This window comes from Homo sapiens, chromosome 4 (assembly GCF_000001405.40).
Source record: "Homo sapiens chromosome 4, GRCh38.p14 Primary Assembly".
Lineage (NCBI taxonomy): Eukaryota > Metazoa > Chordata > Mammalia > Primates > Hominidae > Homo > Homo sapiens.
Genome location: NC_000004.12, coordinates 40,306,404 through 40,331,543, shown reverse-complemented (window position 1 = coordinate 40,331,543; position 25,140 = coordinate 40,306,404). Strand labels below are relative to the sequence as shown.

The 25,140-nt window shown below is 44.5% G+C and overlaps 1 long non-coding RNA gene across 2 annotated transcripts, besides 10 other annotated features; it reads right to left on the bottom strand.

Annotated features, from left to right (window-relative positions):
* Nucleotides 1-1,124: 1,124 nt before the first annotated feature.
* Nucleotides 1,125-24,359, bottom strand: LINC02265 (long intergenic non-protein coding RNA 2265). Of its 2 annotated transcripts, NR_121641.1 has the most exons (4): nucleotides 24,058-24,359; nucleotides 23,216-23,267; nucleotides 4,634-4,834; nucleotides 1,125-1,384 (listed from the first exon to the last, which is right to left on the bottom strand). It is a non-coding gene; the product is annotated as a long intergenic non-protein coding RNA 2265 (long non-coding RNA). The 2 variants fall into 2 exon arrangements; NR_121640.2 differs by lacking the exons at nucleotides 23,216-23,267; nucleotides 24,058-24,359 and adding an exon at nucleotides 14,564-15,060.
* Nucleotides 6,031-6,080: an enhancer, noted in NCBI's record as "active region_21489". NCBI's record gives its function as "activates an Ori minimal core promoter by ATAC-STARR-seq in GM12878 lymphoblastoid cells {active_cell/tissue: GM12878}" and the evidence as "EXISTENCE:reporter gene assay evidence [ECO:0000049][PMID:35858748]".
* Nucleotides 14,132-14,970: an enhancer, noted in NCBI's record as "H3K27ac-H3K4me1 hESC enhancer chr4:40318591-40319429 (GRCh37/hg19 assembly coordinates)". NCBI's record gives its function as "activates a minimal SCP1, AML or CMV promoter by ChIP-STARR-seq in primed H9 embryonic stem cells {active_cell/tissue: H9 hESC(primed)}" and the evidence as "EXISTENCE:reporter gene assay evidence [ECO:0000049][PMID:30033119]".
* Nucleotides 14,224-14,523: an enhancer, noted in NCBI's record as "active region_21488". NCBI's record gives its function as "activates an Ori minimal core promoter by ATAC-STARR-seq in GM12878 lymphoblastoid cells {active_cell/tissue: GM12878}" and the evidence as "EXISTENCE:reporter gene assay evidence [ECO:0000049][PMID:35858748]".
* Nucleotides 20,417-21,616: an enhancer, noted in NCBI's record as "MED14-independent group 3 enhancer chr4:40311945-40313144 (GRCh37/hg19 assembly coordinates)". NCBI's record gives its function as "activates an origin of replication core promoter dependent on BRD2, BRD4, P300/CBP and CDK7 cofactors, and independent of MED14, by STARR-seq in HCT116 cells {active_cell/tissue: HCT116}" and the evidence as "EXISTENCE:reporter gene assay evidence [ECO:0000049][PMID:35650434]".
* Nucleotides 20,417-22,252: a biological region, named in NCBI's record as "MED14-independent group 3 enhancer GRCh37_chr4:40311945-40313144".
* Nucleotides 20,908-21,546: an enhancer, noted in NCBI's record as "H3K27ac hESC enhancer chr4:40312015-40312653 (GRCh37/hg19 assembly coordinates)". NCBI's record gives its function as "activates a minimal SCP1, AML or CMV promoter by ChIP-STARR-seq in primed H9 embryonic stem cells {active_cell/tissue: H9 hESC(primed)}" and the evidence as "EXISTENCE:reporter gene assay evidence [ECO:0000049][PMID:30033119]".
* Nucleotides 21,547-22,185: an enhancer, noted in NCBI's record as "NANOG-H3K27ac hESC enhancer chr4:40311376-40312014 (GRCh37/hg19 assembly coordinates)". NCBI's record gives its function as "activates a minimal SCP1, AML or CMV promoter by ChIP-STARR-seq in primed H9 embryonic stem cells {active_cell/tissue: H9 hESC(primed)}" and the evidence as "EXISTENCE:reporter gene assay evidence [ECO:0000049][PMID:30033119]".
* Nucleotides 21,958-22,252: a silencer, noted in NCBI's record as "tiled region #8605; K562 Repressive DNase unmatched - State 5:Enh". NCBI's record gives its function as "represses a minimal TATA promoter and a strong SV40 promoter by Sharpr-MPRA in K562 cells {active_cell/tissue: K562}" and the evidence as "EXISTENCE:reporter gene assay evidence [ECO:0000049][PMID:27701403]".
* Nucleotides 23,190-23,319: an enhancer, noted in NCBI's record as "active region_21487". NCBI's record gives its function as "activates an Ori minimal core promoter by ATAC-STARR-seq in GM12878 lymphoblastoid cells {active_cell/tissue: GM12878}" and the evidence as "EXISTENCE:reporter gene assay evidence [ECO:0000049][PMID:35858748]".
* Nucleotides 23,890-23,939: an enhancer, noted in NCBI's record as "active region_21486". NCBI's record gives its function as "activates an Ori minimal core promoter by ATAC-STARR-seq in GM12878 lymphoblastoid cells {active_cell/tissue: GM12878}" and the evidence as "EXISTENCE:reporter gene assay evidence [ECO:0000049][PMID:35858748]".
* Nucleotides 24,360-25,140: the final 781 nt, after the last annotated feature.

The following is a 25,140-nucleotide window of genomic DNA, read 5'->3' as shown; positions in this document are numbered from 1 at the left end:
GTCTCTGTACCAACTACTCTTCTCTGCCATTGTACTATGAAAGCAGCCTATAGCAAAATGAATGTGTGGCTATGTTCCAATAAAACTTTATTTACGAAAATAGGTGGCAGGGCATAGTTTGTTGACCCCTGACATAGATAAACAGATCCATAAATCCACTTTGCTCATGAAAATTGCAATAGGAAACAGCGTTCCAGATGAAGAAGGGGCAAAGCCTGCAGGGAAAAGAGCTTGACATGCGCAGACGCATGGCAGGGCCAGGGCTGACTCCCACTGCAGCTCAGCCAGTGAGACTCAAACTGCCTTCCAGCGGAGGCTCTGGGCATGGAAGAACCCTTTCTAATAAGGAATCAGAAATGTAAGAGAACTGGAAAGAGTAGGAAGCAACCCTGTTGGATGTCTGGAGGCTGGGCAAGCCTCCTCACTTCCACAGGGTGACCGTGATAGTGTCGTGGATGAGGAATTAGAGTTTCCAGATATAGGTGATGGTGGGAACTGTGGCTACAGCCAGGCCAGGGGCTGGCAGGGTGAGCAGCAGGGGAATGGGTCAGAAGTTCAAGTGAGTCTCTCTGGGGTCCCCATGAATAAGGACAGGACTGGAGGGCAGAACTCTGGCAGTTTCACTGAGAAGTACAGAGTCCCAGAACACAGTTTTGTTTCTAGATTGCTAGAAATCCTAGCAACTCCCTTCCCCAGCTGTACTCAAATCCATTGGCCTGGGGAAGTGCAGGTTAGATCAGAACAAAAGCGATTCAGGAAGGGGAGGAAGGAGGACCTCTGGGCCAACAGGAACGTCGGACCGGAGCTCATTATGGTGTGGGCACCTGAAGGTGATCACACTGGGCATGGAGCCGATTCTCCTTTTGTGACTGCATGTGCCTGTGTCTCACTCTTGTCCCACTGTACTCTGGCTCTGTCAGTGGTGTGTAGTGGACTGGAAAACTCTTCTGAGTGAAACCCAGCGGGACAATCTCTCTTGGTGCTTCTGGGCATCGTGAAGGAAATGAACTTTCCTAACCTAACTTCAAACAGATCCAACTCCTGCGCATCATCCTCGCTTCTTCTCTCTCAAACCCCATGTATTAGTCTACTTGGACTCCCACAACAAAATACCATAGACCAGGTGAATTAAAAACAGAAATTTATTTTCTCACAGTCCTGCCTCCGTGCCTAAGGACCAGCTCATCCAAGAATCAGCTGGAAGTCCAGACCAAGGTGTGGGCAGGGCTGGTTTCCCCCAAGGCCTTTCTTCTTGGCTTGCAGATGGCTGTCTTCTCTTTGTGTCCTTACAGGGTCTCCTCTGTGCATGTCTGGGTCCTAATCTCTTCTTCTCAGATCCCCATGAATAAGGACAGGCCTGGAGGGCAGGGCTCTGGCAATTTCCCTAAGAGATACAGAGTCCCAGAGTTCTGTTTGGTTTCTAGGTTGTGACCCTATTCCCCGATTGTACCGAAACCCGTTGTCTCCTCAGATGAAATTAGTCCCGCCCCAGTGACCTCACTTAACCTTAATTACCTCTTTAAAGACCATATCTCCAAATATGGTCACATTCTTCAGTACTGGGGGTTAGGATTTCAGCGTGTGAATTCTGTAGGATGCAATTCAACCTGGAACACCCCACATCCAATCTGTGAATGAATCCCAGCAGTTCCACCTTCACAACATATCGGGAACCCAGCCGCCTCTCCCCACCTTCCCTATTGTCTTCCTGGTCTAAGCCATTGCTGACTGCCATCTGCACCAACCACACTTGCCTCCTAGCAGCCAACGGTGCCCCTGAATTCCCTTCTCCAGGTAAGAGCCAGACGGTCATTTTATTTCATTTCATCTATTTTTTATTTCTATTTTTATTTTTTTAATTTAATTTTTTTTTTTTGAGACGGAGTCTCACTCTGTCACCCAGGCTGGAGTGCAGTGGCACAATCTCAGCTCACTGCCTCCCAGGTTCAAGCAATTCTCCTGCCTCAGCCTCCCAAGTAGCTGGGATTACAGGTGCCTGCCACCATGCCTGGCTAATTTTTGTATTTTTAGTAGAGACAGGGTTTCACCATGTTGGCCAAGCTGGTCACAAACTCCTGAGCTCCAGCGATCCACCTGCCTCAGAGTCCCAAAGTGCTGGGATTACAGGCATGAGCCACCATGACCAGCCTATTTTTAAATAATTTATAAGATGGGGGTCTCACTGTGTTGCCCAGGTTGGGGTGCAGCAGCTATTCACTGCACTCCCTCATTATCATTGTGCACTGTGGCCTCCAATTCCTGGGCTCAAGAGATCCTCCCATCTCAGCCTCCCAGATAGCTGGGACTACAAGTACATGCCACCAAGCCCAGCCAGGTGGTCATCTTAAAACACAAATCTGATCATGTCACCCCTCTGCCCAGTGGATTCTCTCCAGTGGATTCTCACCTTATTTGGAATAAAAGCCAAAATCCTTACTGGCAACTACAAGGCCGTACGTGATGTCTCCCCCGACTTTCCTTCTCCAACACTCTCCCCCTCGCTCATGTAGCTCCAGCCGTGCTGGCCTCCTTGCATTCCACATGCACACTGCGCCCCTCCTTCTGTTCCCTCTGCCTGGAGCACCATTAGCATATCCTCCTGACTCCCCTTCTTCTTCCTCCTGGGTTCTGCCTAGTGCCTCCTTATCAGAAGCCCTTCCCTGATGATGTTACGTAGAGTAACATCCCAGCCCTCTCTCCATCTCTGGGATCCACCCTTCCTCGCACTTAGGACCAGCTGACCTGCATGTATGCATTGCACTTGGTAGTTATCGTCTGTCTCCCTACTAAAATTAAGTTCCACAAAAGTGGGGGCTTTGTCATGTTCTGTGCTATTCTCCCAGATACAGAGAGGATATTAGAGGATATTTGTTGATGCATAAATGAGTAATATCTAGAATGAGAAATCTAAGGAATTAAGAAGTAAGGGAAAGGCCAGCTTTCAGACAAAGAATGGTGGGTATATTTCCTATGATTCATAAGCTTACCTGATTTTTTTAGCACTCATGGCCAGGATGTTATTTACAGCCTTACATTGTCAGTCTACTGCTGTGTTATATTTTAACCTATGTCAAAGCAAAATTCCTTGAGAACATGGACCATAATTTTTCCCTTATACATAGTCCTAGCTCAAGGGAAACAACCACCAAATCCAGTTAGCAGCATCTGCCAAGGATGCAGGGGGAGGGTGTGGAGGCATCTCCCCATGTCTCTGCTGACCTAATGCAACAGAAAGGACCTAAGGACACAGGAGGAGTCCTATGGCCCCAGTTCAAGTCCTAGGACCACCACTTACTAGTCATGTTAGTAGTAATTATTTCTCAGAGTCTCATTTTCTCATTTGTATAAAGGAAGATTATAATATTTTACCCAAAAGGGTTATTGTGAGGATTCAAGAGAAAGCAGATAAAGTACCAAGCACACACCTGGCACAAAGCAAGACTCTCAGTGAATGCCACTATGATTCCCCTTGCCAAACCACACAGGCTACGGTAGTCAGAAAGCACCCACTGGTAAAAAGAAACTCATAAAGTTGCCAACAGAAGAGCCAAGTTCATGAAGAGACATGAGTGGGTGATAAGAGACATGCAGTTTTCTGGGTCAGGAGAGCAGCTGATATATGATCCAGGGTATCCAGTATGTCCAAGTGAGTGATCTGGGGACTGTAGCGGGCTCTGATGTCTGTGCTTTGTCAGAGGGTGCATACTATTTTCCCTGAAATCCCCTGAGGGAATATATTTGAAAGCTATAAAACTGTACAGTGTGGTATAGGGTGAGTATCTCCTGGCTTCCTCCTGTTTCTGGGGTCTTTCTTTGCTGCACAGAGGAGACCTCATCCATGGGAGATTTCTGTCCTCAATGGTAGCCCACTTGCTCCTTGGGACTTCTCAGACATTTTCCTTTGTTCTTGAGTTTCCGACCCCTTCTCATCCCAGGAGGTTCTCACCCCACTGGCTCTGCTTCCTCTTCTCATAGCAGACCCTGCAGTCACAATTGTGCAATATTTCCCTGCTCGTTGCAAACACTGTCTCTCTGCTAACATTGTAAGAGTTAGGCAAATGACAAGCATGGGAAAAAGCAGAAGGGGCACACTCTGCTCTTCTGTTAACAGTAGCACGCTACTTCAAGGATGCTAATCATAGAGAAGGGGAGCTGGGAGATTCGGAGACAACACTGTGCAAACCCAGCTGATACCCTTCCCAGGCTATTCTGAGAGCTACCAGCCCCCAACCTCTCCCACAGCTTCTGCCCCCTTAGAAGCAGCATGGCCCCATGGCCCCAAGACCTCACTCATCTCCCGCTCCCCCATCCTCTGCCCTGTTCTGGAAAGTGGGCACTAAAGGGACATGTTAAAACTGAAAAGAGGCAAGGAGGTGCTTTCTCCCAGTCAGCAACGCGCTGCTCCATCTCCCACCCCACCTGCCCACCTGCCCTCAGTGTCTCTTCGGCTAGGCCTACTTAGCCGAGAGCAGCCCCGTGGGTATGAATGGCCTAGGTGCCTGCTTCTGGAAGCATGTTTGGAAGGAAGCAGGGAGGGTACTGAAAGGTAAAGCAGGAGAACTGGAAGATTTTATTCCCAAGTGTTTTCCTCAAAGACACTTTTTAACTTTCTCCGTTTCTTCTTCTCACTTACCTCACCATTGCCATTGACATAGGCTCTGTACACCAAGGAGCTGAACGAGAGGAATCCAGGAGAGCCACAGAAAGGACAAGGGGAACCAGTGCAGGGGGATGGACGCACATCCGCTGACCACGTAAAAGCCAGGCCAGAAGCTAGGCTCTTAGCCTAGCTAAGGCTAGGTTTTCTCAGTGCCTTTCTGAGCCATATTGGAGCCTGAAAAAAAAAAAGAGAGAGAGAATATTGGCAATACTAATCCTGTTTTTTTTTGTTGTTGTTGTTATTGGTTTTTTGTTTGTTTGTTTGTTTGACAGAATTTCTCTCTGTCGCCCAGGCTGGAGTGCAATGGCATGATCTCAGCTCACTGCAACCTCCACCTCCAGGGTTCAAGCAATTCTCCTCCTTTAGCCTCCCAAGTAGCTGGGACTACAAGCATGCATCACCACACCCAGCTAATTTTTACATTTTTAGTAGAGATGGGGTTTCACCATGTTGGCCAGGCTGGTCTCGAACTCCTGACCCCAGGCGATCCACCTGCCTCAGCCTCCCAAAGTGCTGGGATTACAGGCATGAGCCACCATGCCCAGCCACTAATCCTGTTTTTAAACTTTGGTATTTTTATTTATAATGAAATATTTTGCATTAATTTTGATGTTTAGAAATATTGTATTAAGGCCAAGCATGGTGGCTTATGCTTGTAATCCCAACACTTTGAGAGGTCGAGGTGGGAGGATCACTTGAGGCCAGGACTTCAAGACCAGCCTGGGCAATAAAATGAGACCCCCATCTCTACCAAAAAAAGAAAAGAAAAGTTCTTTTAAATTAGCCAGGCATGGTGATGCGTACCTGCAGTCCCTCCTACATGGGGGAGGCTGAGGCAGGAGGATCACTTGAGCCCAGGAGTTTAAAGCTGTAGTAAGCTATGATCACACAACTGCACTCTGGTCTGGGTGACAGATAGAGATCCTGTCTCAAAAAAATTTATCTATATTCATTACTAATATTTTTGGCTCCCCCTTAAATGTGCACTGGAAGCAAGTGCCTCTCCTGCCTCACTCTGGTCCTGGCCCTGATGAGATTCAGCCCAGCTGATGGAACTGGTCAATTCACCTGGTTGATGATTTTTTTCAGAAAGAAAGAGTGAAAGCTCTAAAAATAATCTTTAAAAATCAAAGTCTATTTTTTTAAATGTGCAATTCTACTAAAATAATTAAGAAAGGAGTGAAATTCTCAGCCACAAAAAGAAACCAAATTTAGACACAATTCAAATCCTTTATCTTCTGACAAAGCCAAGGTACTTCACCTTCTCAGCCACCAGGTGTCTCTGTAAACTCCCTGCAGGCCTCTGCACAGGGCACTGCAGATAACGTCATATGTGAAATCTGCTGTTTTTAACCAGCTCTAAAGAGACAGCACATACAAAGAAAAAAAAAACAGCTTGAAATATAACAGCTTCAAATACCAAATTTACAGTGATCCGTCCATTTATCCAGGATTTCTGGCTAATAGCCAAGTGCTTATGATAATCAAATCTATTAACAGATTTAAGCTAAGAAATAGATTATTAGAGTCAAGTTGTCCTAATCAATACACTTTCTAGAATGTTCCTGCTTTATTGTTTTCTCGTATCTTATCTGGATTAATTTCTAACGGAGTATAATTCTGCAAGATCAAAATAGAGTATTCCAGGAACTAACTCTTCCCCTGGTTTGGAGGACTGGATTTTACCCAATTCTTTAGGGTAGAGAATTTTTTGTTGTTTTTGTTTTTGTTGAGGCAGAGTCTCACTCTGTCGCCCAGGCTGGAGTGCAGTGGCACGCTCTCGGCTCACTGCAACCTCCACCTCCCGGGTTCAAGCGATTCTACTGCTTCAGCCTCCCGAGTAGCCAGGACTGCAGGCGCGCAACACCACGCCAGGCTAATTTTTTTTATTTTTTGTATTTTTAGTAGAGACAAGGTTTTACCATGTTGGCCAGGCTGGTTTTGAACTCCTGACCTCAAGTGATCCGTCCGCCTTGGCCTCCGAAAGTGCTGGGATTACAGGTGTGAGCCACCGTGCCCAGTCCTGGGTAGGGAATTTTGAAAACAATATTTAAACCTTTTGTTTATGTTTAAAAAAAATCAGTGCATGAAGTGCTATGGGAGGCCCAGAAAACAAAGTAGTGGGAAGGTTGTACTATTCTTTCAAAGTAAGTTTACCTCGGCTTGTTGTCATCCTTTCCCTTCACATCCTCACCTCACCCCTCAGAAGAAAATGTAACACTTCAGTGAACAGACCATTTCCTCTGAATTTAACATTTTTGTGAGTTAATTCTGCAAATAAGCACTTCGTTCAACACCGTGGGGGACCATCGATCCTTCTTCCAAAGGTCCGGGAAAATGACTCTTGGGAGAGACCTCTGTGATGAGACTCCATGAGCTTCTCTAGCCCGTCTAAGATAGCATTTGTTCTTCATTTTAAAATTGCTACTCATAACAATCCCAATAGGAACATGGCTAATGTTCACAGTGAGGTGCTCACTACTTATTTTAGTACAGTCATTTCTCTGGGTTTCCACGGCAGGAAAACTCCAGCTTTTCTCTTAACTTCCTACGCAATTCCTCCTCATCTGCTTCTTCCCTCAATGTTGGATTTCTCAGGATTCAGTCCCAAGCCTTCTTCTCTTGGTCAAGGTAGAAGAAAATCTTAGCAGTTATAATGAAACCTCAAACTATAAGAAAAGAGGGAGTAATAGTGGGTTCCATGATGCCAAATTAGTTGCATGTCCTGAAGAGGATTGCCAGCCACAGGCTCCATCCCTCATATCTAGGTAGCTGCATCCTTTCTATGAGTCATCTGGGCTTTAAATGGCCATCAGATCACAGGAGGTTTCGTTCAAATGCAGATTCTGAGTCAGGAGGCCTGACTGAGGCTGAGATTCTGCATCCCACGTGATATAGATGCTGCTGGCCCATGGACCACACATTGAGTAGCAAGGTTTAGATGATCATATAATTATAATGAGATATTGATAAAACATACCTAAATTATCAATCACACCAACAGATCAAATCAATATATAATAATGGCTGAACTGGGATAGGGAAGCTGATTTTGAAAAATTTAAAGAATATATGCTTCTGGTTTCCAAAACTCAAAATCTATTCGAAGAGAAAAGGGACCTAAAAGTTCCATGAAATCAGAAACAAGATTCTGTTTTTTCAAAGGGCCCAACCTAAAGATTGATTGTGGCAGGGCGCGATGGCTCACGCCTGTAATCCGAGCACTTTGGGAGGCCGAGGCGGGCGGATCACCTGAGGTCAGGAGTTCAAGACCAGCCTCAACATGGAGAAACCCTGTCTCTACTAAAAATACAAAATTAACCAGGCGTGGTGGTGCATGCCCGTAATCCCAGCTACTCAGGAGGCTGAGGCAGGAGAATTGCTTGAACCCGGGAGGCAGAGGCTGCAGTGAGCCGAGATTGCCCCACTGCACTCCAGCCTGGGCAACAGAGCAAGATTCTGTCTGAAAAAAAAAAAAAAAGCAATGTTATGTCATAATTTCTGTAATCTTTGTGATAACTAGTATGTTTTGCCAGTTTTTAAAGGCTTTTAAGGTATTTAAGATCCAATGGATTTGTGTTGTAATTTTAATCAAGCAAAAAACCAAAAAAACGAACTTAATTTAGGCATGCAATTAACACTTAAATGTTTGGGAAAAAATATTTTCTTAAAAGCATAAGTTTTACTTTATTAGTTATAAATATACTACACACATAGAGAAATGCTGACTGTTGACTAAAAGAATGCTAATTGCTTCACAAATTTATGAGAAGGTCTTGCCGACCTTGTAGTATATCAAACGTGTCAAGTTCCTGCCAACGCAAGATTTCTGCAGTTCCTTTCTCCTAGAATGTGCTTCTCCAACCTTTGCTTGCCTATTTGTGTGTCTGTGTGCTTAATGACTCTTTTATCTTGGATTGTGAATTCTGTGACCATGGAAACAGTTTACCATGGTAATCTTTATACCTCTGCAAAGGTTGCTGGTATTATCCCATTTACAGAAGGCAGGCTTGGAGAGTTTTAAGTAGCATGTCCAAGTTGCAGTGCTGGGATAGAACCGAGGTCTTTCTTACTTGTGAGTCCATGAACATTATTGTGACACTGAGTTCAATAAACAGTGATCACTGATTGAATGCTGCTCAGGTCATCTGCTGTGTTCTGCAAACGCAAAGTCACAGAATTATGGGACCTCCCAGAGCTCTCCTTGAAAAGAACATTTGGGGCAAAACTTTAAACACTACTCCCTTGAAGAGCCAATCATAGAAAACACAATGAAAATATACATCTGTCATTTAGGCCTTAATATAAATTATGCCCCTTGCTCTTTACAAAAATCCATGGACTGATAAGAAAATGAAGGCTGTGCAAAGTGATATTTCCTAGCTTTTTGCATGGAAAGGCAGCATAGCATAGTTAGGAGTAGTGAAGAGTCCCTGAAAGGATTCTGGGTTCAGGCTGTCTGGGTTCAAATCATCGAATTGCCACGTTTTAGCTGGTGGCCTGGGGAAAGTTGTTTAAACTCTCTGTGTTCAGTTTACTCATCTCTAAAGGGGGCAGAACAAAGACTCTGTCATGAGGTTGTTCTGAGGATTGAATGAGGTGATACACATAAAAAGCTTACAACACTGACGACATCTCTAAAAGTAGAGAGCAAACATTTGCTTCATGTCTGATACTCTGTGACAGACGCTCAACTCATACTTGAACCCAGGACATTAGACTTGCATTTCTTTTCCACCGGATCAGACTATACTTCACCATCCATTTTGGCTAGAATGTGCTAACATTTTTGCCCTGCAGGCACGAGCTGCCCTCTGCGTAGCTCTCTTCCTCGTTTCCATGGCTGCATTTCTTTTTCCTGCGTAATTGAAAACCCCAACTGCAGAGGCAGGTTTATTTATAGCTGAAAAATTAGTGTTATTTAGCTTGAGCTTTTCTGCAACCATCAGTCCATTACTGTAAGAGCATCCACATTTACATTGCAACATCCTTCTGTTTTCCCAGTGCCCTGTAATTCTTAATTAGCTACTCAAAACAATGTTTATTGAATGTCTATAGAGAGAGAAACCTGATCCAGCCTTTTTACATCCAAAACCAGTATCTACCCAAAGCTCAGACTCTCACATACCAACCACTTCCTGGACAGCTCTGCTTGGAGATTCCATAGCATTTCAGATGTGGTCAAGTGGAACTCACTATCTTCCCCTGGCCTGCCATGGGTTCCTGGTTTTGATGAAGAAAGTCACCATTTCCCAGTCCCCCATGCCAGATACTGGGAGTTGTCCCAGATTCCCCTCACATACTACTACATCCCATCTGCTACCAGGCTCCATCAATCCTGTCTGCTAAGCCCACGCCATCCCTCTTATCACCCCAAACCCCTACAAGGTAGTATTTCCTGGACTATTGAAAACCATCTTGGGGCTGTTCCTTCTTCCTTCAGTCTCCTTTTCCTCTAGTCCCCACTCACACTGCTGTTACTTCAATGTTTTGGACTCTGACCATGTTACACTCCCCTGCCTGTATGAAATCCTCCCATGTCCCCCATCACCCACAGGATGAAGGCCCTGCTCTAAATCATGGCATAGGAGACCCTTCAAACTCTCTGTCCTGCCTTCCTCACCAGGTGCATCGCCTGCCATCCCACATAGCTTTTTTTCTCTTTTCTTTTCTTTTTTTCCCCTCTATTTATTTATTTATTTATTTATTTAAGACGGAGTCTGGCTCTGTCGCCCAAGCTGGCGTACAGTGGCACGATCTCGGCTCACTGCAACCTCCACTTCCCGGGTTCAAGTGATTCTCCTGCCTCATCCTCCTGAGTAGCTGGGATTACAGGCATGCATCACCACACCTGGCTAATTTTTGTATTTTCAGTAGAGACGGGGTTTCCCTATGTTGGCCAGGCTAGTCTCAAACTCCTGACCTCAGGTGATCTGCCCACCTAGGCCTCCCAAAGTGCTGGGATTACAGGCATGAGCCACCGCACCCGGCCCCACATAGCTCTAATAGCAAGGTGATTTGCTGCACTCTCTCGGGCCTCCATGCTGTTTCCATGTTGTCCCTCAGCCTGGAATAGTTGTCCCCTCCATGCCCAACCAGTGAACAGCTTCTCTTTCAAGTCTCATCTTGAAAATCACCTAATCGAGAAAGCCCTTTCCAACCTCCCAGGCAGAATTCCGTGCTTCCTCTCCTATGTTCTTGTGGTTTCTGGTACATACTTCTATCACAGTGCCCATCCCGTTACTCAACTGTTTACCTATTGTCTCCCCGGCCAGACTGAGCATCTCTCAGATGCTCCATTTGTCTTGGTATCCCCAGTATTTGATATACAAGAGGTGTCCAATAAATGCTCATGAAATACATGATTGTAGTGGTGAGAGCCAGGCCTGACAGAGATCTCTTGATTGGCAGTCACCCTCCTCCCATGCCACAATTCCCCAGGCAGTCTTGGCTGGCCTTCCCTGGGCAGTGACGCTTCTGGTGTCCGCGGTGAGAGGATGGTGGCAGCTGAGTGTCTTAACCTTAATGTGCACACACCTGTGCCAAGCATGGCTCCCTAAAGGGCAGCCTTAAGAGCAAGATGAAACAACCTTGGATGTAAATGCGCCTGGCAGAGAAACTAGCCCCACTGTGACCCAGCTTGTCAGAGTGGATCCCCGTTGCGGAACGGATGTGCTGTGTTTGGGAGCTGACAGATTCCAGTCAAAATGGAAGGACCTAAATGAATTTAGATTCCACCTTTGACCTAGCCTGGATGCAGAGGCTCATGCCTGTAATCCCAGCACTTTGGGAGGCCGAGGCAGGCAGATCACTTGAGATCAGGAGTTCGAGACCAGCCTGGCCAACATGGCAAAACCCCACCTCTACTAAAAATATAAAAATTAGCTGGGCGTGGTGGCAGGCGCCTATAATCCCAGATTCTCGGGAAGCTGAGGCAAAAGAATCACTTGAACCCGGGAGGTGGAGGTTGCAGTGAGCCGAGATCGCACCACTGCAGTCCAGCCTGGGCGACAGAGTGAGACTCTGTTTCAAAAAAAAAAAAAAAATTCTACCTTTGACCTAAATCCAGTGTAGTAATAGCCAAGATAAGTAAGATAAGTACAAGCTCAAGAGTTAAGCTTCTGGAGAAAAGAGAACTGTATTTAACTTAACTTAGGTTGTAAGCCCCTCAGCAGAGGGGAGTGGATCACCTTTTTGATGAGAATACATGTTTTAAGATAAATATTAAAACCACTTCCAGCTGGTCATGGTGGCTCACACCTGTAATCCCAGCACTTTGGGAGGCTAAGGTGGGTGGATCACAAGGTCAGGAGTTCGAGACCAGCCTGGCCAAAATGGTGAAACCCCATCTCTACTAAAAATACAAACATCAGCCTGGCATGGTGGTGGGCGCCTGTAGTCCCGGCTACTTGGGAAGCTGAGGCAGGAAAATCGCTTGAACCCGGGATGCAGAAGTTGCAGTGAGCCAAGATCTGGCCACTGCACTCCAGCCTGGGTGACAGAGCGAGACTCTGTCTCAAACAACACAAAACAAAACAAAAAAAATATTTCCTAGTTTCCCAGTAGAAACAGGCACTGAGAGGTGAGTTTTGATCAGAATAGTGCTGCAAAATCCACTCATACTGCAAATATTTACTGAATGCTGGGCAGAGAGTTCACAAGAATTAACTACACATCATCTCATCCTTCAAGGTGATTATGGAATATTTAGAGGAAAAAGACAAATTTCTAAGAAAAGCTGAATAACAATAAAAGTTAAATAAGTAATGCAAGCAAGAAGACTATTTTTTTTTTTTTTTTGAGAGAAGTCTCACTCTTGTTCCCCAGGCTGGAGTTCAATGGCACAGTCTCGGCTCACTGCAACCTCCATCTCCCGGGTTCAAAAGATTCTCCTGCCTCAGCCTCCCAAGTAGCTGGGATTACAGGCGCCTGCCACCAGGTCCGGCTAATTTTTTTGTATTTTTGGTAGAGACGGGGTTTCACCATGTTGGCCAGGCTGGTCTCAAATTCCTGACCTCAGGAGATCCACCTGCCTTGGCCTCCCAAAGTGCTGGGATTACAGGCGTGAGCCACTGCACCTGACTCTTTTTTTTTTTTTTTTTGACAGGGTCTTGCTTTGTCACCCACTGGAGTGCAATGGTGCAATCTCAGGTCATTGCAACCTCTGCCTCCTGGACTCAAGCGATCCTCCCACCTCGGCCTCCAGAGAGCTGGGACCACAGGCACCGCCACCACATCCAGCTACTTTTTTTTTTTATTTTTAGTAGAGACAGGGATTTCACCATGTTGCCCGGGCTAGTCCCGAACTCCTAAGCTCAAGCGATTTGCCCACATCAGCCTCCCACAGTGCTGGGATTATAGGCGTGAGCCACTGCACCCTGCCAACTATTCCTTAAAGGCGTGACTCGCTGCCAAATGAGAGGTCTGAACCAGAAGTTCAGAGAAGGGAAAGAAGGTTGTGCCTCCAGGGTGGACTGATCCATAGGAGGCAGAGACCAAAAACGAGGCTCTCACTTGACGGACTGGACCAGCAAGATGGAGTGCATGGTGGAGGCGTGGGGGTGCATCTTGGTAGAAAAAAAGCCTTTGGGATTTGGGACTGGAGTTTCTGTTCTGTCATTTATTAGTGAGAGATCTCAGGCATTTTTAAAAAATCTTCTTTGCACCTCAGTTTCCTCATGGGTGAAAGGAATAATATTATCTACCCCACTGGGCTCCACATATCATTCAGACCACAAGCATCTGTGGAGTCTACTTATACTAAGCCCTTTTGATAAGCCCTGGAGTACAAGATGAAAAGAGAAGGGCCTGCCCTCAAGAGCTGCCAGAGAAGGAGGGGCAGTCACTGTTGGTCCCTCTCTTCATTTACCTTCCAGGGGTCTGTCTTTTTGTTTGTTTGTTTGTTTGTTTGTTTTGTTTTGTTTTTTGTGTGTGTGAGAGATGGAGTCTCACTCTGTCATCCAGGCTGGAGTGCAGTGGCACGATCTCGGCTCACTGCAAGCTTCGCCTCCTGGATTCAAGCAATTCTACTGCCTCAGCCTCCGGAGTAGCTGGGACTGGAACTACAGGCGCCCGCCACCAAGCCCGGCTAATTTTTTTTTTTTTTTTTTTTTTTTTTTTTTTTTTTGTATTTTTAGTAGAGACAGGGGTTTCACCGTGTTAGCCAGGATGGTCTCGATCTCCTGACCTCGTAATCTGCCCGCCTCGGCCTCCCAAAGTGCTGGGATTACAGACAGGCGTGAGCCACCGTGCCCGGCCCAGAGGTCTGTCATTTTAAAGCAGCAGTGGTCAGAACCATGAGCCACATACATGGAATGCAGGACATTGGTTCAGAAGTTTGAAGACAGAACAAGCTCTTCACCATCCACAACGGAAGGTTCCTGCCTTCCTGTCCCGCGTTCTGTGAGGAAATGCGTCTGTCCCTCTGGAGCTCCTGATTTTCAAGGCTTCTCCCCTGAGCTTTGATGAAGTCTGGGGGAGCCAGCGTCAAAGGCAGCACACTCTAGTCACCTGCGATCGTTACCCAAAGAGCCTGCTGTTGACCTCACGTCACTTCATTTTTTTAATTGCAAAAGACAACCACTAGGGGGCCTAGGAGCGAGACGCTGAGCTCCGATTCCATTTATCAGGCAAATAGCCTTTCCTTCTTGCTGAAAAACGCAGTCAAGGTCAACAAAACACACACCGTGGGCTGAGAACAATACCTTCTGCACCTTCTGCAAACGCTTAGTGAAGAACGCATCTCCCTTGAGGCTAAAAAATATTCTTAACTCAGACCATCCTCCACAGCCCATCAGGCTGGGCCAAGCGTTTCTTAGCCCTGATTCCATTTTTCAGTGTTTCCTTCTGATTAAAAGCCCTTTGGCACAGCAGGATTGTCTATAATAATGGTAAATGACTCACATGATGATGAGGCAATCTTTTCACATCCTGAGCTACAATCCGTCTTGTAAAGCCTTGCAACGGCCTCAATTACAGCCCTGGATTCTCAGCAGAGGCACAGAGTGGGGGTTTTTGCTTGATTCTCTCTCCCCTCTCAGTTTCCCACACCTTATGCAGAGGCTTGAATGTCTAATGTACTGTACATTAGACATTCCTATAGCATCCTATAGCATCCTATAGCAATCCTCATTAAAATCAATCACTCATTTGAAAAAAAAAAAAGCAAGCAAAGAAAAAGGAAGGAAGAAAGAAAGAAAAGAAAAGAAAAGATGGAGGAAAAAAGAAAGAAAAAAAATGATCAGGCCCCTAGGGGCCTCTGAGGTCACAGTAACTCAAGTCCCCATGACCAAAACTGGGTGGCAAAGCTTATTTTTCCTTAGCAGGAGTCTGCTTTTGCAAAGGTTCGTCTCTTACATTTTCTTTCAGACACTCACGCACACTCCAGCAACAATGGAAATGAACATAATTTCCCAAGCAGGTTGCCTAGAAACCACTCCTGTGTTTCTGAAACTAATTTAAACATGAAAATTCAGCTCCTGACTCATGCCAGGAATGCACGTCATAATTTTCTCAGTATTTTACTTTCTTTTTCTTTCACATTACAAAATAATGCATGCTTACTGCAGAAAAAAAGTGAAAAGAATATGAAAATACAAAGGTTCAGAAAATAAAGAATCTCCTGTAATCTCACTACCAGAGGCAACTTCTGTTGTCATTTGGGAATATTTTCTTCTAGGCTTTTTATTTTTCTATGCATTTTTAACATCATGGAGATTAACACAGATTTTACATCAAGATTAATAGTGAATTTAATTAGCATATTGTCAGTATTTCTCCATCTGGTGAAATTTTCAGAAACTTGATTTTTAAAAGACCGCATTATATTACAGTTCATTTTCCCAATATTAATCATTCTCTAAATGCTAGATGTTTAGGTTATTTCTAATTTTTCACCATTATAATGTCACAATGATCAACTTAATACAAAATAGTTATTATATCTTTATTTCTCCAGGATAACATCATAAAAGGAGTTTCAAAGAGGATAAACATTTCAAAACTTTTTAAATATTGAACAAATACATGTTTATGTTTTTTTTTATTAAACAGTACATTAAAAACAAATTTCCTTCTCCACTCTCTACAGGTAGCCCCTGTTTCTGTGAATACACAGCACATGTGTATGATTTGTCTATTTGACACTGTACATTGTTCTATCACTTGCTTTTTTGACTTATTGTATCTCAGACATCTTTCCATATCAATTCAAATTGATCCATTCTTTTTAGAATTTGCAGAATATTCCATTAGATGATGTATTATCACTTATTTGCCCTAGACAAAACCTCTTAATGCACTGGACACATATGCAGTGAGCTGGGGTCCCTAGCAATGGGTCTGAATCTATACTGTTCCATCCACACCACACCTTTACTGGAAGGGAACAGATGATGGCAAAGGTAACTGCCTTATCTGGCTGGAATTAGTGTTATATTCTAACCCAGAGGTCTCCAAACTTTTCTGATCTCTCCATTTACTGATTCAAATTTTGAGCATGCTCCCCTATTTATGTATTTTTTAAATTTATAGATTACATACATATATATGACTTTATAAAATAGAGTCACGTGCTACAAAACATTTCAGTCAACGCGAAGTGGCCACATATACTGTGATCCCATATACTGTGTAACCATTGTGTTATAACTGCCTACAATATTCAGTAAGATCACATACTGTACAAGTTGATAGCCTAGGAGCAAAGGCTATACCATTTAGGTTTGCGTAAGTACACTTTATGATGTCCACATGATGATGAAATCACCTAACAATGCATTTCTCACAAAATGTCCACATCGTTAAGTGACATGACTAAATTATTGTTCATCTCACAGGACAGACACCAAAAAGGATATCTTAGTGAATATCCATTTTGAATTAAAGATGAAATAAATATATTAAATTATTTATTTATATAATAACAATTGTATACAATATAATAAAAGAATTTTGCTCTTTTTGACAAGCACAATGTGACTGAATATGCTTCATTATATTTTAAAATATTGGTTTAACATCTTGTATTACAGTTACTCTGAGGTCTGATTTTAAATTCAGCATATTTTAATTGTCAATGTAAGGTTGTCGTCGCAGGAAGAGACTCCTCACAAATATACATAGATCTAAACAAAGAAGAGTATTGTTCACCAATCTTACAATCTCACCAACCAAAAATGCAGTATTTTGGAAATTCACCTTCACTTACAGTATTCAGTTTATCTTTGATTTGTGGTTACTTTGTAGAAATCTTTTAAAGCTAAGTATCCATTTTATGCACTTTAGTTTAATTAAAATTAAATAATATGTTCCCTGAATCCACTTACCCAGGCCCATATCCAAAAGCGGACTCTCAATCTCCCACTTCAAATCTGCATTTCCCTCCACTTCATCCCAGTTACTGACAACTCCAGGCTCCAGTTGCTCGGGCCAGAAAACTTGGGGCTCTCCATTGCCCCTTCCCTTTCTCTCAACTCCACATGGAATTAATCAAAAAATCCTAATAGCTGTACCTTCAAGACATATCCAGAACCCAAATGCCCCGTGTCCCTTTTCCTATCACTGTCCTGGTCTAAGCCACCATCTTCTCTCGCCTGAAATACCGAAATGACAGCCTGACCATGTGGCCGGTTCCTGCCCTTCCCCTCCATGGTCTGTGCATCACAGCAGCATGTGTGTGTCCTTTAAGAGTTGTATTCTTTTTAATTATTTTTTATTAGGAAAAGATTTAAACTTACAGAAAGTTACAAGAATAAAAATACTACAAAAAATAGCCTGTTCCCTTACACCATAGCCACCTATAGTTAGCATTTTGCATGTCTTTTATCTACCTACCCAGCTCTCTCTCTCTGTCTCCTCTCTAAATACTAATATTTCACGGCCCTTTACTCCTAAACATTTCAGTGTGTATTTCTTAAGAATATTCTCTTCCATAACCATAGTTCAGTTACAAACCTCAGTAAATGTAACATTGATAAGGCCGGGTGTAGTGGCTCATGCCTGTACTCCCAGCACTTTGGGAGGCCAAGGCGGGTGGATCACTTGAGGTCAGGAGTTCAAGACCAGCCTGGCTAGCAGGGTGAAATCCCCTCTCTTTTAAAAATACAAAAATTAGCTGGGCGTGGTGGCACATGCCTATAATCCTAGCTACTCGGGAGGCTGAGGCAAGAGAATCGCTTGAATCCAGGAGGTGGAGGTTGGAGTGAGCGGTGATCGTGCCACTGCACTCCAGCCTAGGCAACAGAGAGAGACTCTATATTTAAAAAAAAAAAAAAATTGATATAGTAGTTTTATCTAGCCTACCATCTGTTTTCTCATTTTCTGGTTGACCCAATGATGTCTTATATATCATTTTTTCCCTTTTAGTATAGAATACAGTCTAAGATCAGGGTTACATACCGTATTTAGCTGCCGCAACTGTTGTCTACTTTAATTTGGAAGATTTTACACTGCCTTTCTTTGTCTTTTACAATACTATCATTTTTGGAGAATACTAGTCCCCTCTTTTCTATTTTTAAATAGAATTTTCTCATTTGGGGTTTTTTGATGTTTCCCATCATTAAATTCAGGTTATGCATTCCTGGACAGCACATTAAATAGGTGATACTGTGTCCTTTTTGGAGCATCACATCTGGAAGCACACAAGGTCCATCTGCCCCTTACTGGTGACATAAATTTTGATCACCCAATCAACGTGTTGTTTGACTTCTCCACTGTAGAATTACTATTTTTTCTCTTGTAACCAATAAGCAATCTGTGAATAGGTACTTTAAAAATCATGCAAATATCCTGCTCCTCATCAGAATTTCCACTTAAATTTAGCAACTATTAATGATCCTTGCCTGAGCCAGCTTTCACTTGGATGGTGGCAAATGATGATTTTCTAACTCCAGCTCACCCTGCACATTTACCAGTTAGCACTTTGCAGGATTCTACTGTAAGCAAGATCCCCCCACCTCCTCCTTATCTACTTATTATCAGTATGCACATGTAGATTTCCATTTTTCTTCCCCTGCCCCTTTTTTTTTGAGACAGAGTCTCCCTCTGTCACCTAGGCTGGAGTGCAGTGGCACAATCACAGCTCACTGCAGCCTCGACCTCCCAGGCTCAAGTGATCCTCCCACCTCAGCCCCCCAAGTAGCTGGGACTACAAGCATGAGCCACAACACCTGGCTAATTTCTTAAATTTTTTGTAGAGATGGGGTCTAGTGATATAGCCTAGGCTGGGGATTCCTATTTTTCAATAGTTCACATCCCATTGCTGTCCTTAATTACTTTGGTGCTCAAATTGTGTCCGATTTGCCCAGGGGTAGCCCCTTCACACTGGCTCCTGTGTCCTTGCTTTAAAATCAGATCACGTAACTTTCTGGATCCCTTCTCCTTTGATTCAGGCTTGGTCTGCCTGAAGCTGAAAGTCATCCTAGGAAGAGGGAAGATGGTACCCCAGATGCTGCAACCAGGAGTACCTGTCCTCCTCGTCACAAGGCCAGTCTCCAGGGAGTCTCTGTCAAAACAAGAGCAAGGCTCAGCTTGGGATGGAGACGTGCCACCCAGTGCCCCATTTCCTAGTTGGATGTTTGATTTGTCCTCTTCCTGCCACCACCCTGCTCAGCCACTCTATCACACAGAACTAGAAAAGTCACATCTTGTAGCCATGGTGACCAACTAGCACACAGGTTCGCTCTCTGGCCGCAAGAAGCAGACAAAGTAGCTTTTCTGTTTGCAGTTTAGCTCTTTATTAAGGCCCAGATGCTAGGGTTTGCTGGCTATCTGTAAGGAATTGAGCAATTGCAGGTTATGTTTTTCTTTCTTGGGTGTGGTTGGGGGGTGTTCTTTCAAACATAGCGTGTCTTAGCAACTGAAAGGAATTGTAAGAGGGCTCCTTTGGTCTGTGGCTAATCCAGGTGCCTTTGGGATCCCCATTTCCTCGAGATTAGTGTGCTCACAGCTGATACCCTCTTTATCAACTGGCTCCATATGCTTCCTGTCCCCGCAGTTTGAGACGGGCGAAGGCAGCCGCTACTGCTCGGTATAAACAGAGACTTCACAACTGTGAGGGTCTTTGTCGGTTCCTTCAGACCTTCTGCTTCCAAAGCTCAATAGGAACATAAAGTGGATCTCCCAGCCAAAGACTTCACTTCTAGCCAAAAGGAAGGAGTTTTGCAAGGTTAAAAGGATAACTGGGGGCCAGAAATTGGTTATCTATATTCCTTTTTTTTTTTTTTTTTTTTGAGATGGAGTTTCACTCTTGTTGCCCAGGCTGGAGTGAAGTGGTGCAATCTCAGCTCACTGCAACCTCCAGATTTAAGCAATTCTCCTGCCTCAGCCTCCCGAGTAGCTGGGACTACAGGTGCCCGCCACCACACCCTCCTAATTTTTTTGTATTTTTAGTAGAGATGGGGTTTCACCGTGTTAGCCAGGATGGTCTCTATCTCCTGACCTTGTAATCCACCCCCGCCCGGCCTCCCAAAGTGCTGGGATTACAGGCATGAGCCACCTCGCCCAGCCAGTTATGTGTATTCTTAATTATTCACAACATTAAATGTTCACGATTGAAAGGAAGAAAAAATACATTCATTGTCTATTTAACTGCCTGATGCCATGACAAGTATATATAGTCATCATTGTAGAGCAGGAAGTAACCTCATCTGAGAGAAACTGAGCTCTGGAATGTTAGGTAACTCTCTCAAGGCCATGATAGTGGCGAGAGGCAGAGCCAGACTACAATCTCCGCGTCCCGGCCGAGGCTTAGAGTATTAGCCGTTGTTCCAGCAGCATTTCCTCGATGACAGGAGGGAAATGCTAGAGCTTCTTTTTAGTTCTGGGATCTGATCCTTCTTGGGTCTGAACATCTTTCACAACGCCAGCCATCGGCTTATAGAGGAGATTGCTGATTGTCTCCAAAATCCATTCTCTAATTCTTCAGTAATAAAATGTCAAATGTTACCAAGGCCCATGGTTGCTCTGCCTCATTCCCCAGTATACCTGACAGTGAACTCATGTCTGAGGACTGGTCAGCAGGATGTAAGGGAGAGTGGTGAGCACTTCTCTTTCTTTTCTTTTTTCTTTTTTTTTCTTTTTGAGACAGAGTCTCGCTTTGTTGCTGGGGACTGGGGTGCAGTGGTGCCATCTCAGCTCACTGCAACCTCCGTCTTCCAGGTTCAAGTGATTCTCCTGCCTCAGCCTCCTGAGTAGCTGGGACTGCAGGTATGTGTTACCATGCCTGGCTAATTTTTGTATTTTTAGTACAGATGGGGTTTCACTGTGTTGTCCAGGCTGGTCTCGAACTCCTGACCTCTGGTGATCCTCTCACTTTGGCCTCCGAAAGTGCTGAGATTACAGGCATGTGCCACCGCACCTGGCCAGTGAGCACTTTAAAGAACTAGAATGTACCCTTCTCTGTTCCTTTCCTCCTGACCAGTGACTGAAACGCTGAACCAAGCTTGGAGCTGGAGCAGCCATTTTGGGCCACGAGGTAGAAGCCATGTGTTGAAGAGAATGGAACAAGATGGAAGAAACCTGGTGATCAGGGAGCCGCCATAACAGTCTTGGGTTGTCTCTGTTTACATGAGAGGTAAATAAATTATTATTATTATTATTATTATTTTGAGATGCAGTATCGCTCTGTCACCCAGGCTGGAGTGCAGTGGCACGATCTCAGCTCACTACAACCTCCACCTAAGCAATTCGCTTGCCTCAGCCTCCCGAGTAGCTGGGACTATGGGTACCTGCCACCAGGCCTGGCTAATTTTTGTATTTTTGGTAGAGATGGGCTTTCACCATGTTGACTAGGCTGGTCTCGAACTCCTGGCCTCAAGTGATCCACCCACCTCGGCCTCCCAATGTGCTGGGATTGCAGGCATGAGCCATCACACCCAGCCTTTATTATATCCAGTGATTTAACAAAAACCACTTATATTTGGGGTTCTCAGTTATAAGTATTATGTTCGAACACAGAAAGTGAAACTATTTGAAAGTTTCTTGTAGAATTGGCTGGGAAGAAAGGCAATTCATTCCCTTTGAAGGATTTCATTCCCGGGATGTGGCTGCCTGCTTAAAGAGCAGGTTCCATTCTGTAGAGGAAGCTTGGGAGACAAGGAAAGACCCTCATTTCAAAAATATAGCCACTTCACTTCCTGCTGACTTGAGTTTTTGTTTTGTTAAACTGGTTTCTCTTTTAAAACAAATGTCCCCTCAGTAAACTAAGCTCATTTGTTGTTCACACCTGAGAACCAGAGCATCCTCTGCTGATTAGTAAGGAGTTTGGGGGAAGGGGAGTTGCGACTAGGCTGCAGGAGGAAGTGACACTTGGGGGAGGATAGGCCAAGGTGGTGGGATTGATGGGACTCGGAAAGTCCCTGAAAGCAGGGAAACAAAGAAGTGGGAGAAGGGCCAGACAGGGTCGCGCTCACGCTCTAAATCGCACTGGCTCGGCTTTGACTTGCTCTCAAGACACTGGGAACAGCGCGTGAACACCAGAGGGCAGCAGCGCAAGATGAAATTAACAGGGACTCTTCACAGGGCCCCTGGCTTCAGGTCTCAGGGAGAGCCAGCCTTCCCATCCAACCTGGATCTGCCTGGTTTCCTTTGTCCAAAGTCAACCAGGGTGGAAGACTTCAACCAAAGTGGGCAGGGCCCACTTTCATACACATTCCTTCAGGGATTCCTGGTGATGGTCGTTCCCCCTCTCTAGTCCACTGATGCCATCTCTATCACACATTTAACATTGTATTAAAATAGTCTTTAATGTGGGTTATATATGCTTCTTACCTAGCCACACCCTAAGCAATCAGACCTGTGAAATGATGATTTTGGTGTGCTGGTGTGTGTATGTTATAATTATTACATTAGAATATCTATATCACCAGAAAATCATCTATCACCTATAGGATGTATATCACACTTGGAAAAATGTTGCATTACTTCATTAAATTCCCCCCAATGACCCAATGAAGAAAGTGATATTATTCTCCCCATTTTCTAGATGAGGAAACTGAGGCTCAGAGAGGTTAAATATCTTCCTCAAGAATTTTCGCCAGAGCTGGGATTTGAACCAAGGTCTGCTTGACTTAGAAGGCAGTGGTCCTTGCTTTCTCCCGAGGAGAAGGGAGCAGAGATACCTAAAGATGCCTGACTCCCAATCCCATGGGAACATGCCCCCTGCGGGCTCACTTCCTCTCCTCTTTGTCTTCAATTTCTAAGAATGTCTTCTTTTCACTAAAACAAAACACTCCAGAATGCATTCTGCATGAATAAAGACTGCCAACTCCATGGCAGAAATAACATACCTTTTGGGAATGTTTATCACTTCTAAAATGATGATAAAGAAATTCAACAGTTTGTATTTCTGGACGAACTAGGGGAGAAGAGGAAATAAAGTATCTACAGAGTATCACAACACACCTACAGGAAGCTGAGCAAAGTAGACTAATCACACTGGGCCCGGAGGACGGCTGGTAACAGAAACCTCAACGTTTATCTGAAGTGACTGCTCATCCCCGGGCACCACGGTGACAGGTGTGATAGAAAGATAAAACCCTAGACTCTGCTGCTCACCTGCCGTTGGGCCTTGGTCAAGCCACTTCTCTCTGAGCTTCAACTGCCCCATCTGTAAGAGGATAACAATTCCGGCCTCAGGGGGTCATCATAGCAACAAATGAGGAACCTGTAAATTAGTGCGAAAACACCCCACTTACTACTACTGTTTTTAAATGATTGTGAGAGTAAAAAGGGCCTTCGTGTTCAGAACCCAATCAGCTTAGAGTGAATTGTAGCACTTGGCAAATACTGCCTTTTCTGCTTGGAAACTTCACTTAAAAAGAAAAAAAAAATGAGGTCAAAGAGCGATTCCTAAAGCAAAAGAAAATTGCTAAACTTTAGACTATTCCTGACCCCAAAGTCCTCCTTCAGACCATGTTTCCCCTTTTTCACTCATATCTAGCCCAACATGCATAAATCCTTGCTTCTACCAGAGGGCCACACAGAGGAATGGACAGACAGGAAGAGTCTTTGCCCAATTAGTTTCACTTCCTCCCTGGCACCCCATGGTCACAGCCCTGGAGAATTGTTTTCTGCGGCGCTGAGGGCTACATTTTCGTTTTAACCAGCGCAAGGTAGGCAAGAGACTTAAGTCAGAGAGCTTGATGATGTAATGAATTTGCCAGCTGCCAACGACACTAGGACCTCATCACATTTCTTTGTTTTCCTTTCTAACCCCAAATCTAGCAGGCATCCCTGTTCTCATTAACAAAGCCTCCTATTAGCACCATTGCTCCCTAACTACCATCGGACCTCACAGGGAGAAGTTCTGTATCGAGAACAGTAGAGCAAAAAGACAGGAGGAAAGCAAGTCCCCAACATCATGCAGCCCACATACTAGCTCTGGATGGCTTACGTACGATGAAATCTCCAAGATGCCTTCCAAAAACCAGATGACCCTGTCCTTTCTGGAACTACCGCCGTCCCTTGTAACTCTGTAAGCTTCATTTCCAACCTCATCCTGCTCTAACTCGAGCACAAACATAAGTCTGTAGAACCACAGTGGCCTTGGGGGCATCATTCTCTTTGCCTTGTCAACATTTCTATTTTATATCCCTCCCTGCTCCTGTCTAGAGGTTGGTACTCAGTCTCCTGAGACTCATCTTATAGATAGAGCTTGATGGACCACGGGGAGAGGGCATCACTCCTGCTACAGTCTGAATGCACACACCTGGGGCCCAGCTGCCCAACCTTCCACCGCTGAAGTTCAAACAGTTGCATCTTAGACAACTCCTCCACTTCTAATCAGCCCAGCATAGAGGGAGTTTGGAGGTGTCAGACACCCATCAATGGCTGAGAGAGAAAGAAATATAGTGAAAGACCTGTTAGCAGTTCTGTTGTGCCCAACAGAACTCTCATTTGTCTTATGTCTAAAAAGCTGGCCATTGACTTTCAACAGGATTTCACTGATGCTATTAGAAAATATTTTACCACTAAATGAAAATAAAGATAAACTGCCTTTCTGAAGATGCAAAAGGTAAGAGATAATACATAAAAATGCAAGTTGATCAAATTTCACTTGATGTTTGATGACCCTCAGTGTCCCAGAACATTGCTTTGGGAATTATTTTCTCCTTTGATCTTGCAGAACAGTGTGAATGGACATAGAGGCCATTTGTATAAAAGAGGAACCTAAGGACGTAGGGGAAAACAAAAGAATCTGTCAGGGATGGGAAAAGCACACCCATTTAAATATGCAGAAACCTTAATGCCAGTGTCTGGCTAGCTATTAAGCAGTAATTCCTTCTCTATCCCTTATCATATCTACCAGTTACTCTGCAAGATTCTTCAGTGTAAAGAGCACTGTAAAATGTATTTTTCAGATTTATCTCGTCTTTTTGCCAGATCAGCCCACCCCATGCATATCTGCCAGCTGCCTCTTACACAATCCCTCAGAGCCCACGGAGCTGCACTGTGGGCCCTCAGATGATCTGATGCAGGTA